This window comes from Homo sapiens, chromosome X (assembly GCF_000001405.40).
Source record: "Homo sapiens chromosome X, GRCh38.p14 Primary Assembly".
Taxonomy (NCBI): domain Eukaryota; kingdom Metazoa; phylum Chordata; class Mammalia; order Primates; family Hominidae; genus Homo; species Homo sapiens.
In genome coordinates this window covers 152,045,037-152,059,993 of record NC_000023.11, presented here as the reverse complement: position 1 = coordinate 152,059,993, position 14,957 = coordinate 152,045,037, and the positions used below count along the sequence as shown (strand labels likewise).

At 35.2% G+C, this 14,957-nt stretch overlaps 1 pseudogene; it reads left to right on the top strand.

Annotated features, from left to right (window-relative positions):
• On the top strand, window positions 13,724–14,750 carry RPSAP60 (ribosomal protein SA pseudogene 60; annotated as a pseudogene).

The window sequence follows — 14,957 nt, the reverse complement described above, 5'->3', positions numbered from 1 at the left end:
AAATGTCTTCTTTTGAGAAGTGTCTGTTCATATCCTTTGCCCACTTTTTGATGGGGTTGTTTGTTTTTTTCTTGTAAATTTGTTTGAGTTCACTGTAAATTCTGGATATTAGCCCTTTGTCAGATGAGTAGGTTGCAAAAATTTTCTCCCATTCTGTAGGTTGCCTGTTCACTCTGATGGTAGTTTCTTTTGCTGTGCAGAAGCTCTTTAGTTTAATTAGATCCCATTTGTCAATTTTGGCTTTTGTTGCCATTGCTTTTGGTGTTTTAGACATGAAATCCTTGCTCATACCTATGTCCTGAATGGTATGGCCTAGGTTTTCTTCTAGGGCTTTTATGGTTTTAGGTCTAACATTTAAGTCTTTAATCCATCTTGAATTAATTTTTGTATAAGGTGTAAGGAAGGGATCCAGTTTCAGCTTTCTACACATGGCTAGCCAGTTTTCCCAGCACCATTTATTAAATAGGGAATCCTTTCCCCATTGCTTGTTTTTCTCAGGTTTGTCAAAGATCAGATAGTTGTAGATGTGCAGCATTATTTCTGAGGGCTCTGTTCTGTTCCATTGATCTATATCTCTGTTTTGGTACCAGTACCATGCTGTTTTGGTTACTGTAGCCTTGTAGTATAGTTTGAAGTCAGGTAGCATGATGCCTCCAGCTTTGTTCTTTTGGCTTAGGATTGACTTGGCAATGTGGGCTCTTTTTTGGTTCCATATGAACTTTAAAGTAGTTTTTTCCAATTCTGTGAAGAAAGTCATTGGTAGCTTGATGGGGATGGCATTGAATGTATAAATTACCTTGGGTAGTATGGCCATTTTCACGATATTGATTCTTCCTACCCACGAGCATGGAATGTTCTTCCATTTGTTTGTATCCTCTTTTGTTTCATTGAGCAGTGGTTTGTAGTTCTCCTTGAGGAGGTCCTTCACATCCCTTGTAAGTTGGATTCCTAAGTATTTTATTCTCTTTGAAGCAATTGTGAATGCGAGTTCACTCATGATTTGGCTCTCTGTTTGTCTCTTATTGGTGTATAAGAATGCTTGTGATTTTTGTACATTGATTTTGTATCCTGAGATTTTGCTGAAGTTGCTTATCAGCTTAAGGAGATTTTGGGCTGAGACGATGGGGTTTTCTAGATATACAATCATGTCGTCTGCAAACAGGGACAATTTGACTTCCTCTTTTCCTACTTGAATGCCCTTTATTTCCTTCTCCTGCCTGATTGCCCTGGCCAGAACTTCCAACACTATGTTGAATAGGAGTGGTGAGAGAGGGCATCCCTGTCTTGTGCCAGTTTTCAAAGGGAATGTTTCCAGTTTTTGCCCATTCAGTATGATATTGGCTGTGAGTTTGTCATAGATAGCTCTTATTATTTTGAGATACGTCCCATCAATACCTAATTTATTGAGAGTTTTTAGCGTGAAGGGTTGTTGAATTTTGTCAATGGCGTTTTCTGCATCTATTGAGATAATCATGTGGTTTTTGTCTTTGGTTCTGTTTATATGCTGGATTACATTTATTGATTTGCATATGTTGAACCAGCCTTGCATCCCAGGGATGAAGCCCACTTGATTATGGTGGATAAGGTTTTTGATATGCTGCTGGATTTGGTTTGCCAGTATTTTATTGAGGATTTTAAGAAATGCAAATCAAAACCACAATAAGATACCATCTCACACCAGTTAGAATGGCGATCATTAAAAAGTCAGGAAACAACAGGTGCTGGAGAGGATGTGGAGAAATAGGAACACTTTTACACTGTTGGTGGGACTGTAAACTAGTTCAACCATTGTGGAAGGCAGTGTGGCGATTCCTCAGGGATCTAGAACTAGAAATACCATTTGACCCAGCCATCCCATTACTGGGTATATACCTAAAGGATTATAAATCATGCTGCTATAAAGACACATGCACACGTATGTTTATTGCGGCACTATTCACAATAGCAAAGACTTGGAACCAACCCAAAAGTCCAACAACGATAGACTGGATTAAGAAAATGTGGCACATATACACCATGGAATACTATGCAGCCATTAAAACTGATGAGTTCATGTCCCTTGTAGGGACATGGATGAAACTGGAAACCATCATTCTCAGCAAACTATTGCAAGGACAAAAAACCAAACACCGCATATTCTCACTCATAGGTGGGAATTGAACAATGAGAACACATGGACACAGGAAGGGAAACATCACACACCGGGTACTGTTGTGGGGTGGGGGGAAGGGGAGGGACAGCATTAGGAGATATACCTAATGCTAAATGACGAGTTAATGGGTGCAGCACACCAACATGGCACATATATACATATGTAACAAACCTGCACGTTGTGCACATGTACCCTAGAACTTAAAGTATAATAGTAATGAAATTTTTAAAAAAAGTGGCCAAAGGACATGAACGAACACTTCTTTTTTCTTCAACTTTTATTTTAAGTTCCAGGGTACATGTGCAGGATGTGCATATTTGTTACATAGGTAATCATGTGCCATGGTAGTTTGCTGTACAGATCAACCCATCATCTACATGTTAAGCCCAGCATCCATTAGCTATTCTTCCTGATGCTTTCCCTTGTCCTGCACTGCCCATAGGTCCCATTGTGTGTTGTTCCCCACCACGTGTCCATGTGTTCTCATCGTTCAGCACACACTTACAAGTGAGAACATGTGGTGTTTGGTTTTCTATTCCTGCATTAATTTGCTGAGGATAACAGCTTCCAGGTCCATCCAGGAAAGACGTGATCTCATTCCTTTTTATGGCTGCCTAGTATTCCATAGTGTATATGTACCACGTTTTCTTTATCCAGTCTCCAGTCTCTCATTAATGGGCATTTGGGTTGATTCCATGTCTTTGCTATTGTGAATAGTGCTGCAATGAACATACGTGTGCATGTATCTTTATAATAGAAAGATTTATATTCCTTTGGGTATATACCCAGTAATGGGATTGCTGGTCAGATGGTATTTCTGCTTCTTGATCTTTGAGGAATCACCACACTGTCTTCCACAATGGTTGAAATAATTTGCATTCCCACCAACAGTGTAAAAGTGTTCCTCTTTCTCCACAACCTCACCAGCTCTGTTGTTACTTGACTTTTTAATAACAGCCATTCCAGGCCAGGCACAGTGGCTCATGCTTGTAATCCTAGCACTAAGGGAGGTCAAGGTGGGTGAATCAGTTGAGATCAGGAGTTTGAGACCAGCCTGGCCAACATGGTGAAACCCCATCTATACTAAAATTACAAAAATTAGCCGGGCATGGTGGCATATGCCTGTAATCCCAGCTACTCAGGAGGCTGAGTCATGAGAATTGCTTGAACCTGGGAGGTGGAGGCTGCAGTGAGCAGAGATCATGCCACTGCACTCCAGTTGGGGCAACAGAGCAAGATTCCATCTCAAATAAATAAATAAATTATTTTCTGACTGGTGTGAGATGGTATTTCATTGTAGTTTTGATTTGCATTTCTCTAATGATCAGTGATGTTGAGCTTTTTTTTCATGTTTGTTGGCCTCTTGAATGTCTTCTATTGGGAAAGAACACTTCTCAAAACAAGAGATACATGCGGCCAACAGAAACATTACAAAAAATTTCAACATCAGTGATCGTTGAGAAATGCAAATCAAAACCACAATGAGATACCATCACACACCAACGAAAATGGATATTATTAAAAAGTAAAAAAAAAAAAAATAACAGTTGCTGGTAAGGTTGCAGAGAAAAGGGAACACTTACACACTATTGGTGGGAATGTAAATTAGTTCAACCATTGTGGAGAATAGTGTGATGATTCCTCAAAGATCTAAAAACAGCAGTACCATTGAACACAACAATCACATTACTGGGTATATGCCCAAAGGAATATAAGTTGTTCTATTATAAACACACATACACACATATTTTCATTGCAGCACTATTCCCAATAGTAAAAGACATGGAATCAACCTAAATACCCATAAATGGTAGACTGGATAAAGAAAATGTGGCAGATATACAACATGGAATATTATGCAGCCGCAAAAAAGAATGAAATCATGTTATCTGCAGGATTGTGGATGGAGCTGGAGGTCATTGTCTTTAGCAAACTAATGTAGGAACAGAAAATCAAATATTGCATGTTCTCACTTATAAGTGGGAGCTAAATGATGAGAACACATGGACACATAAAAGAGAACAACACACACTGGGACCTACCAGACGGTGGATGTTGGGAGGAGGGAGAGGATCAGGAAACATAACTAATGGGTACTGGGCCTAATACATGGATGACGAAATAATCTGTACAACAAATCCCCGTGACACAAATTTACCTATATAACAAGCCTGCATGTGTACCCCTGAACTTAAAATAAAAGTTAAAAAAATTCTGAGGCGCTTTATAAGAATTTTGAAAGTCCCTTTAGTGTATAAATTCTTAGACATTTTGTCATTCTGTTTTATACTATTCTAGCAAATATTAAGATTGCCAAAGAACAAAATCTTAACCTTCATTTTAGATGGAGGTTGAGTAATCTCATTTTGTAAAGCCATGTTCTTTGGTATGATGTAAAAGTTCTATTGCTTAGCTTAAAAAGGGAAAATAAATAATTGAGAAAGTCCAGGTTAAACTGGATTCAATTTCCAATAGTTAATTTACGTTTCTTCTTCGTAAGTCTTTGTTTGATTCTACTTAAGTGTTTTCAACCATAACTCATTTTTTCAAATTGTGTCAAAACATAATAGGAGCAAGTGCAGAAAGATCATGAAACTCTATATACATTTAAAAAACAAAAACTTCTTTAGGCACTGCCAAACAGATTTCCAAAGGGGCCGCAACATTTTGCATTCCCACCTGCAATATATAAGGGTTCAAATTTCTCCATATCTTCACCAGCACTTATTATCTTCCATTTTTATTTCTTTAGTGTCAACCATCTTAGTGAATGTAAACTAACATATTATTGTGGTTTTGATTTGCATTTTCCTAATGACAAACGTTGAACATTTTTTAATGTGCCTGTTGTCCATTTGTATACCTTCTTTGGAGAAATGTCTCTTCAAATCCTTTGCTTATTTTAATTGGGTTGCTTGTCATTTTGTTGTTGAGTTTTAGCTTTTCTTTACATATTTTGGATATTAGACACTTATCACATATATGATCTTTAAGTATTTTTACCACTCAATAGTTTGCCTTCAGTTTCTTGATAGTGCCTTCCCATTGACAATTTTCAAAATTTTGATGAATTCCAATTTACTTATTTATTCTGTTGCTTCGTCATATTTTAAAAATCTGTTGCCAATTTCAAGGTAATGAATATGTACCCTTATGTTCTCTTCTAAGAATTTTATAGTTTCACATCTTGCATTTATATCTTTGATCCATTTTGAGTTAATCTTTGTATATTGTGTAAGGTAAGAATTCTACTTCATTCTTTTGTATGTGGTTATACAATTGTCCTAGCATCATTTGTTGAAGAGATTATTATTTCCTCCTTTGAATGGTCTTGGAAACCTTGTCACAAATCAGTTGACCATACATGTATCTATTTTTGTTTGGATTCTCAATTATATTCCATTGATTTATATGTTTATCCTTATACCCATACTTGACCATTTTGATTACTGTAGCTTTTTAATATGTTTTGGAATCAGGAAGTGTGAGTCCTCCAAATTCACTCTTCTTTTTCAGTATTGTTTTGGCAATTCAAGGCCCCTTGTAATTCCATATGAATTTCAGGATCAACTTTTCCATTTCTGTAAAATAGGCCATTGAGATTTTTATGGGATTTGCAATTAATCTACTTATCACTTTAGAAAGTATAGACATCTTAGCAATATTAAGTCTTACAATCCATGAACACGAAATGACTTTCCTTTTTTTTAGGCAATTCACACTTAATTTCTTTCAACATTTTAAAATTTTCATTGTAAGAGTCCTACACCTTTGTGGTTAAATTTACTACTCTTTTATGTTTTCATGCTATTATAAATAAAATTACATTCTTAAATTTTTTTTCAGATTTTTCAGTCCTAGTGTACGAAAATACAACTAATTTTTGCAAGTTGATCCGTACCTAGAAACTTTGCAGATTTCAGTTATTATTATCCTTAACAACATAACATTTGTATATATTATTTAGTATATTCTTTACTTGTAGGATTTTGTCATCTGTGAATAAAGATAGTTTTAACTATTTCTTTATTATTTGCATGTCTTTTGTTTCTTTTTCTTTCCTGATTCATCTGGCTATAACTTTCACTAAAATGTTGAATTACAGTGGTAAAGGTGGGCATCTTTATCTATTAATCACTCATCTAATTCACTTACCCTGTCTTCTGTTACTCTAATCTCTTGTTTAACCCCTATATTAAGTTCTTCATTTGAGTTGCTACTGTTTAACTCTACAATTATCTATTTATTATTTTATAGGTTCTAGTTCTATGGTGAACTTTTATATGTTGTAATTTATGTCCTTAAACATATTAATCACAATTAAAGTATGTGCTAATAGCTCCATTTTATGTATCATTTGTGGGTCTCTTATTATTGCTTGTTTTGTTCGCTTGATATTTTGATTATTTGGTTTTCTCTTCTGACAAGACTTGTATTTTTTAAAAATTTGATGTCAGATATTATATTTGTGTGTGTATATGTATACAAAATAATGTGGAGTCACTAGATTAGATCATCTACTCACAGAGAGGTTTTATGTCCCTTATGGCATGTGCAAGGACAAGTCACCTGTGCCCAACTATGGATTAAGATTACTTGAGGGTGAGCTAGCAGAAGAAAATAAATAACTAAGATTAGAGAAGAACTTAATGAAATTGTGATGCAAAAATTTATACAAAAGATTAATGAAACAAAGAGTTGGTTCTCAAAAAATAAATAAGATTAATAGACCTCTAGCTAGATTAACAAAGAAAAAGAAAGAGAAGATCAAAATAAGCACAACCAGAAACAACAAAGGTGACATTACAACTGATCCCACAGAAGTAAAAAGATCCTCAGAGACGACTATGAAAAACTCTATGTATACAAATTAGAAAATCTAGAAGAAATGAATAAATTTTTGGAAGCACAAAATCTCCCAAAATTGAATCAGGAAGAGATTGAAACTCTGACTAGATCAACATCAACTTCTGAAATTGAATCAATAATAAAGAAACTACCAAACAAAAAAAGCCCTGTGGCAGATGGATTCATAGCCAAATTCTACCAGACATACAAAGAACTGACACCAATCCTACCAAAACTATTCTAAAAAATCGAGGATAAGGAGCCTCTCCTTAACTCTTCCTATGAAGCCAGCATCAGCCTGATACCAAAATCTGGCAGAGACACAATGAAAAATAAAAACTTCAGACCAATATCCCTCATGAACACAGATGCAAAATTCCTCAACAAAATACTAGGAAATTGAATCCAGCAGTACATCAAAAAGTTCCAACACCACAATCAAGTAGGCTTTATTTCTAGGATACGAGGCTTGCTAAGCATATGAAAATTAATAAATGTGATTCACCACATAAACAGAATCAAAAGCAAAAACCATACGATCATCTCAATACATGCAGAATATGCTTTCAATAAAATTCAACATCCCTTCATAATAAAAACTTTCAACAGACTAGGCATTGAAGGAACATAGCTCAACGTAATAAGAGCCATCTATGACAAGCCCACAGCCAACATTACACTAAATGGGAAAAGCTCTAATCATTCCATTTGGAAATTGGAACAAGACAAGGATGTTGACTTTCACCCCTCTTATTCAACATACTAATGGAAATCCTAGCCACAGCAATTAGGCTGTCAAAGAAATAAAAGGCATCCAAATAGGAAAAGAAGACAATATGATTCTATACCTAGAAAATCCTAAAGACTCTGACAAAAGGATCCTAGAACTGATAAACAACTTTAGGAGTTTCAGGATACAAAATTAATGTACAAAAATCAGTACCACTTTTATACACCAATAACATTCAAGCTGAGAGTCAAATCAAGAACACAATTTCATTTACATTAGGCACAAAGAAAACACCTGGGAATACAGCTTACCAAGGAGGTGAAAGATCTCTACAAGGAGAACTACTGAACTGTTAAAAGAAATCAGAGAGGACACAAATAAATGGAAAAATATTCCATGCTCATTGACTGGAAGAACCAAAATCATAAAAAGCAATTTACAGATTCAGTGCTATTCTTTTCAAACTACCAAAGCTATTCTGTGAAGAATTAGAAAAATACTACTTTACAATTCATATGGGACCAAAAAACGGGCCTGAATAGCCAAGGCAATCCTGAATAAAAAGAACAAAGCTGGAGGTATCACACTACTCAGATTCAAACTATACTATAAAGCCACAGTAACCACAACAACTTGGTACTGGTACAAAAATGGACACATAGACCAATGGAACGGAATAGAAGACTCAGTAATAAAGCTACACACCTACAACCATTTGATCTTCAACAAGGCCAAGGAAACCAAGAAATGGAGAAAGGACTCCCTATTCAATGAATGGTGCTGGGATAACTGGCTAGCCATATGCAGAAGGTTGAAGCTGGGCCCCTACCTTTTTATCACAGGTAGAAATTAACTTCAAATGGATTAAAGATTTAAATGTAAGACCTCAAACTATAAAATTCCTGCAAGACAACTTAAGAAATACTCTTCTCAATATCAACCTTGGCAAAGAATTTTTGGCTAAATCCCCACAAGCAATTGTAACAAAAACAAAAATTGACAAGTGGGACCTAATTAAACTAAAGAGCTTCTGCACAGCAAAAGAAACTATTAACAGATTAAACAGTCTACAGAGTACAAGATATTCACAAACTATGTATCTGACCAAGGCCTAATATCCAGAATTCATAGGGAACTTAAACAAATGAACAAGCAAAAACCAAGTAACTCCATTTACAAATGGTCAATGGACATGAAGAGATATGTCTCAAAAGAAAACTAACAAGTGGCCAACAAACACATGAAAAACTTCTTAGCATCACTAATCATCAGAGAAATGCAAATCAAAACCACAATGAGATACCATCTCACACCATTCATAATACCTATTATTAAAAAGTAAAGAAATGGAATCAACTTAAGTGTCCATCAATGGAGGATTGGATAAAGAAAATGTGGTACATATACACAATGGAATACTATGCAGCCATTAAAAAGAATAAAATAATGTCCTTTGCAGCAATATGAATGGAGCTGGAGGCCATAATCCTAAGCAAATTAATGCAGGAACAGAAAATTAAATACTGCATATTCCCACTTATAAATGGGAGGTAAACGTTGAGCACAAATGGACATAAGTGTAGGAACAATATACACTGTGGGTTACTAGAGGGGAGAGGTAGGTGGATGAAAAAACTACCTGTCGAGAAATTTGCTCACTACCTGGGTAACAAGATCCATACTCCAAACCTCAGCATCATGCAATATTTCCATGTAACAAATATGCACATGTACCCCCTGTATCTAAAATAAAAGCTGAAAACAAACAAATAAAAAACAATAGTCATTCTAATATTAAATGTGAAATATGGGGTGATAATGAATCTTTCAGATTTAATGTCTTAACCTTTAAAATAAGGGAATTGTAGCAGATGATATTTAATAGCCTTTCTGGTTGTTTAATTATCTTCAACCATAAGAGTGTGAAACTGTGAGAGTATGTGGGTTGAATCCGTGAATAAATGGTTGAAATTAAATTTTTAAAAAAGATTATTTGAGTGTTGATTTATGTTTTTGAAATGGCTGATCTATTTCAGGTTTTCCAATATTTCTAGGATGTTGACCTTCACAGATATTAATTTTAATACTGGAGTGTTTAAAGAAGCTCCATCCATTTTACTAATCTTTAGTTCCAATTCTTATCTTTCCAGAACTGTGAGAATGCTGAAATTTCTGCTTAGCTTTTGAGGCTCTTAGCTGCTGCTTTCTATTTGGCTTTTTGGTCTCTTGTCACATCTTGAAGATGGTTGCTGGAGAAAACTGACAGAGAATATCAAGATCACGTATGCACAATTGTCTTTCCTCAAAGATCTTGGCCCCTTGAATCCTAGTCTTGGACTCTAATTTTTGTTTTTTAAACCCCATGATACTGCCCTGCCAAAAGTTGTTAGCCATCACTTTCTACTGTGCTTCTCAGCTCCATCCTGCTTATAAATTGACAATTGCCTGAAAAAGACAACTAACAGAGAAAAGTGAACTCACCTCATTTTTTTCTTCTTTCTGGAATTTCAGTAATTCAAAATTTTCCTCCCTTAAGTGTGTCTATGTGTAGCTGGCAGAATAATGGCCCCCCCGCAAACAATGTCTACATTCTAGTCCCTAGAAACTGTTCATATTATCTTATATGACAATAGGGACTCTGCAGATGTTATTAGATCAAAGATCTTGAGATGAGGGGATTATCTTGAATTATCTGGGTGGGCCATATGTAATTACAAAATTAACTATAAGAGGGAGGCTAGAAGTTAGAGTGAATAACAGGAGATGTGATGTGGAAGTAAGAGACTGGAATATGGGCATGAGGCAAGGAATGCCAGTAGTCCCTAAAATATGCAAAAAGCAAATAATGTATCTTCCCCTGAAGTCTCCAGAAGGAACCAGTTCTGCCAACACCTTGATTTTATTACTTTGAGGTTCCTTTGTGACTACTTACTATCAGAACTGAAAGAGAATAAGTTTGTGTTATTTCAAATCATTAAGTTTGTGGTAATTTGCTGCAACAGCAGTAGGAAACTCATGCACTGGGTTTTATGTTTCTTTTTCACTCGCTTGGAGATTTTTCATAGAAGCTACTTTGACATATTGAAAGCATATTTTTCTTCTTATGTCTTGTACACTCTTTTTTGTAAATTCTGCCCTTTTGTCTCTGACTTTTATTCTAGCTATTTTCTTTCTGTCTTCCAGATTATTCTTCCTTCCACTGTGTCTACTATGCTGTAATATTACATATTTTAACTTGAAAAAGATCACCACAAAAATTGATGATTCTTAAAACCAGTGTACAGTACTCACTTAAAACCTTTGAGCTCTCCATTTCCATGGCTCGCCTTTTCTGCCTTTGTAAGTCTTCTCTCAAACCAAGCCTCCTTCTCATATATATACAATATTATATTATATATAATGTATATTATATATTATATAATATAATAAAATATATATAATATAATCTTATATTTAATAATATAATATAATATAATATTATATATAATAATATTATATTATATTGTGTATATATATATATATATATATATATATATATATAGAGAGAGAGAGAGAGAGAGAGAGAGAGAGAGAGAGACAGACAGAGTCTTGCATTGTCGCCCAGGCTGGAGTGCAGTGGCGCAATCTCGGCTCACTGCAACTTCCGCCTCGTGGGTTCAAGCGATTCTCCTGCCTCAGCCTCCTGAGTAGCTGGGACTACAGGTGCGCAGCCACCACGCCCAGCTAATTTTTTTATTTTTAGTACAGATGGGGTTTCACCATGTTGGCCAGGGTGGTCTCGATATCCTGACCTCGTGATCCGCCCACCTCGGCCTCCAAAAGTGCTGGGATTACAGGTGTGAGCCACTGCTCCCGGCCTTTAATAAATGATTTTTAATATTATTCAAACTCTAGTTTAAATAAGGCCACCTTAATAAAAGGCCACACAACCTTCCTGAAATATTTTTTTGGTCTTTCTGATAAGTCTTTTTGAATATAAAGACAAGTGTCTTTTAGACTAAATACTCTAATTTCTACAAAATTTACGTTCTGTCTGTTAAACATGTATTTTCTAATAAATTTACTTTCAGTTTAGTCTACACACCTAGTTTAATATTTTGTTTAATTTACACATCTGGGTTAAAGTTTTTATAAACGCTCTTATCTTAGTTTCTTTTGATTTAGTTTAACTCTTCTCTCTTACTTGTTTCTGAAAACATCCCCAAAACAAAAATAGACATTCTAAATAGTAAACACAAAATAGCTAATTAAAAACCACTAAGACAGTCACTGCCATCTAAAATGGCAGCCAAAACCCCTAATATTCTCTAACAAAATTAGCAAAATTTTCTTTATTCTAAAAAAAAAAAAATACAAAACAAAATTCTCAGGCATTAGGACATGCCAAATTTCCTGAGACTCCAGCCAACTACATATTGTACACATTTTTAAACTAATAAAATTACATCAAAAATTGAAAATGCAAGTAGCTGTTATTCAAATTCTCTAAAAAACCACTACAATTGAATATTAACATATAAAGCCCTCTAAGTTCTCCCTCTCTGTATTTTTCTCTACCTACTTTACATTTTTATTAATACATAATATTTGTACACATTTATGGGTTGAATGTAATATTTTGATACATACATAGAATGTGTAATGATCAAGTCCCTTTGAACATTTATCATATCCATCACTTTGAACATTTATCATTTCCTTGTGTTGGGAACATTTCAAAGCTTCTCTTCTAGCTATTTTGAAAGATATAATATATTGTTGATAACTATAACTACCATACTGTTATACTGAATACCAAAACTTATTCCTTCTATCTAAGTATACATTTGTACTCATTAACTTCCCTACTTTAAATCTACTAACTTTTCTACTAGTGTTGAGATAAAACTTACACTTATGACTTTATAGCCAAAAAAAAGGCTTAGAGATTTCCAAGCCAAAAAAAAAAAAAAAGGCTTAAAGACTTCCAAATTAATGACTTTACAAGTTACAGCAATTCCATAATAACCAATAACCTAAACACCTTTTATTATACTTTAAGTTCTGGGGTGCATGTGCAGAACGTGCAGGTTTCTTACATAGGTATACACGTGCCATGGTGGTTTGCTGCACCCATCAACCTGTCATCTACATTACATGTTTCTCCTAATGCTATCCCTCCCCTAGTCCTGCACCCCTCGATAGGCCCTGGTGTGTGATGTTCCTCTCCCTGTGTCCATGTGTTCTCATTGTTCAACTCCCACATATGAGTGTCCTAAACATCTTTTAGAAATATAAATCTAAATTTGCCTAACAATCACTTATGGTAATAAAATACTTAATTACAAATTAATAACCAATGAAAAACCTAAATAAATGTTTATGTTTGACTCTCAAATCTAGCAAGTCAGAACCATAAGCTCAAAACAATAATATATCTCTTTCCAACACAAAAATTTTGCTTTTTCTGCCACACAAAAACAAAAAAAGCCAAAAAACTTACTAAAATTCCTCCTGATCCACATTTACTAATCAAGCGAAACAGCTGACAAACAAAAATTAAATTTATTACTAGTTCAAAACTATTTGTTTTTCTTATACAATTCAGCCAGTCCTAAAAAATATATAAACAGTTAAAAATTTAACCCTAAACTCATTTTAAAAGTAAAATAATTAAGTTTTCTAAAATCAAATTTCTATAAAAACTACTTGACCCACAACTTTAGTCCACAGCTTTCATTAAATTACCTATCAAGAGAAATAAAGTTTAGTCATGTAAACAGGTCCCAATTTTGTTAAAAATATCATTTAGATACAGCTATCTTCTATAAACCAATAATTTTATCTTACTATTTTATAAATAAAATTCTAAAATGAAAATAAAATCTTTATTCGTATACATATATGTGTTCAAGTGTGTTTGCACATATCTGCATATATTGTGTTATATGCAGTGTCTACATAATAAAGTCTCATACCATCAGTCAAAAAACCCTTAAAAGTTCTATTCAGCTTTTTCCACGCTACCTAGAGAGGGGTCCACAGGGCATTGTTCTGGATTCCTGGAATCGCTTAAAGAGAAAATTTCACAATGTCTGGAATCCTTGATATCCTGCCAATGAAGGAGGATGATATCCTCAACTTGCTTGCAGCAGGAACTCACTTAGGTAGCCCCAACCTTGACTTCCAAATGGGACAGCACAAGTATAAAAGAAAAGTGATGGCATCTGCATCATAAATATGAAGAAGACCTGGGAGAAGCTTCTGCTGGCAGCTCTTGTCATTGTTGCCACTGAAAACCTTGCTGATTTCCCTGTCTTATCCTCCAGGAATTCTGGCTGCTGGGTTGTGCTGAAGCGCACCACTGCCACTGGAGCCATTCCTATTGCTGGTCACTTCACTCCTGGAAACTTCACTAACCAAATCCAAGCGGCCTTCTCGGAGCTCCAGTTTCTGGTGGTTACTGATCCCAGGGCTGACCATTACCTCTCACAGAGTAATCTTATGTTAACCTGACTCCCATTGCTCTGTGGAAAACAGATTCTCCTCTGCATTGTGTGGACATTGCCATCCCATGCAACAAGGGAGTTCCCTCAGTGGGTCTGATGGTGAATGCCAGCTTGGAAGTTGTACACACACGGTACCATCTCCCATGAGCATCCATGGAAGGTCCTGCCTGATCTTTACTTCTACAGAAATCCTGAAAAGACTGAAAAGGAAGAGCAGACGTTGCTGAAAAGACCATAACCAAGGAGGAGTTTCAGGGTGTATGGACTGCTGCTGCAGCTCCTGAGTTCACTGCTACTCAGCCTGAGGTTGCAGATTGGTCTGAAAGTGGGCAGGTATCCTCAGTGCTTATCAAGCAGTTCTCTACTCAAGACTAGAGTGCTCAGCCTGCCAGGGAAGATTGATTTGCAGCTCCCGCTGCTCAGACCACTGAACGGGTAGGAACAACCTCTGAGTGATCTTAAGCTGTTCTTCCACAGGCTCTTATGCAAGATAGAAATAAGGTTGGTGACAAATAAATGTCAGTTTCCAAAAATAAATTTTATTAAAATTAACGTAAATAAATACACATTCATATAAAATATATAATTAACGCAAATGCCTTTAGTTCCCATGACTTAAATACATCTTTAATAAATAAACCAGTTTTAAAACAATAAAATAAAAATATAAATTTCTTTAAAATGGTCAACATATATTTTTACCCAAGTTTACTGGTCAGTTTTATATTCGTCTCTACTA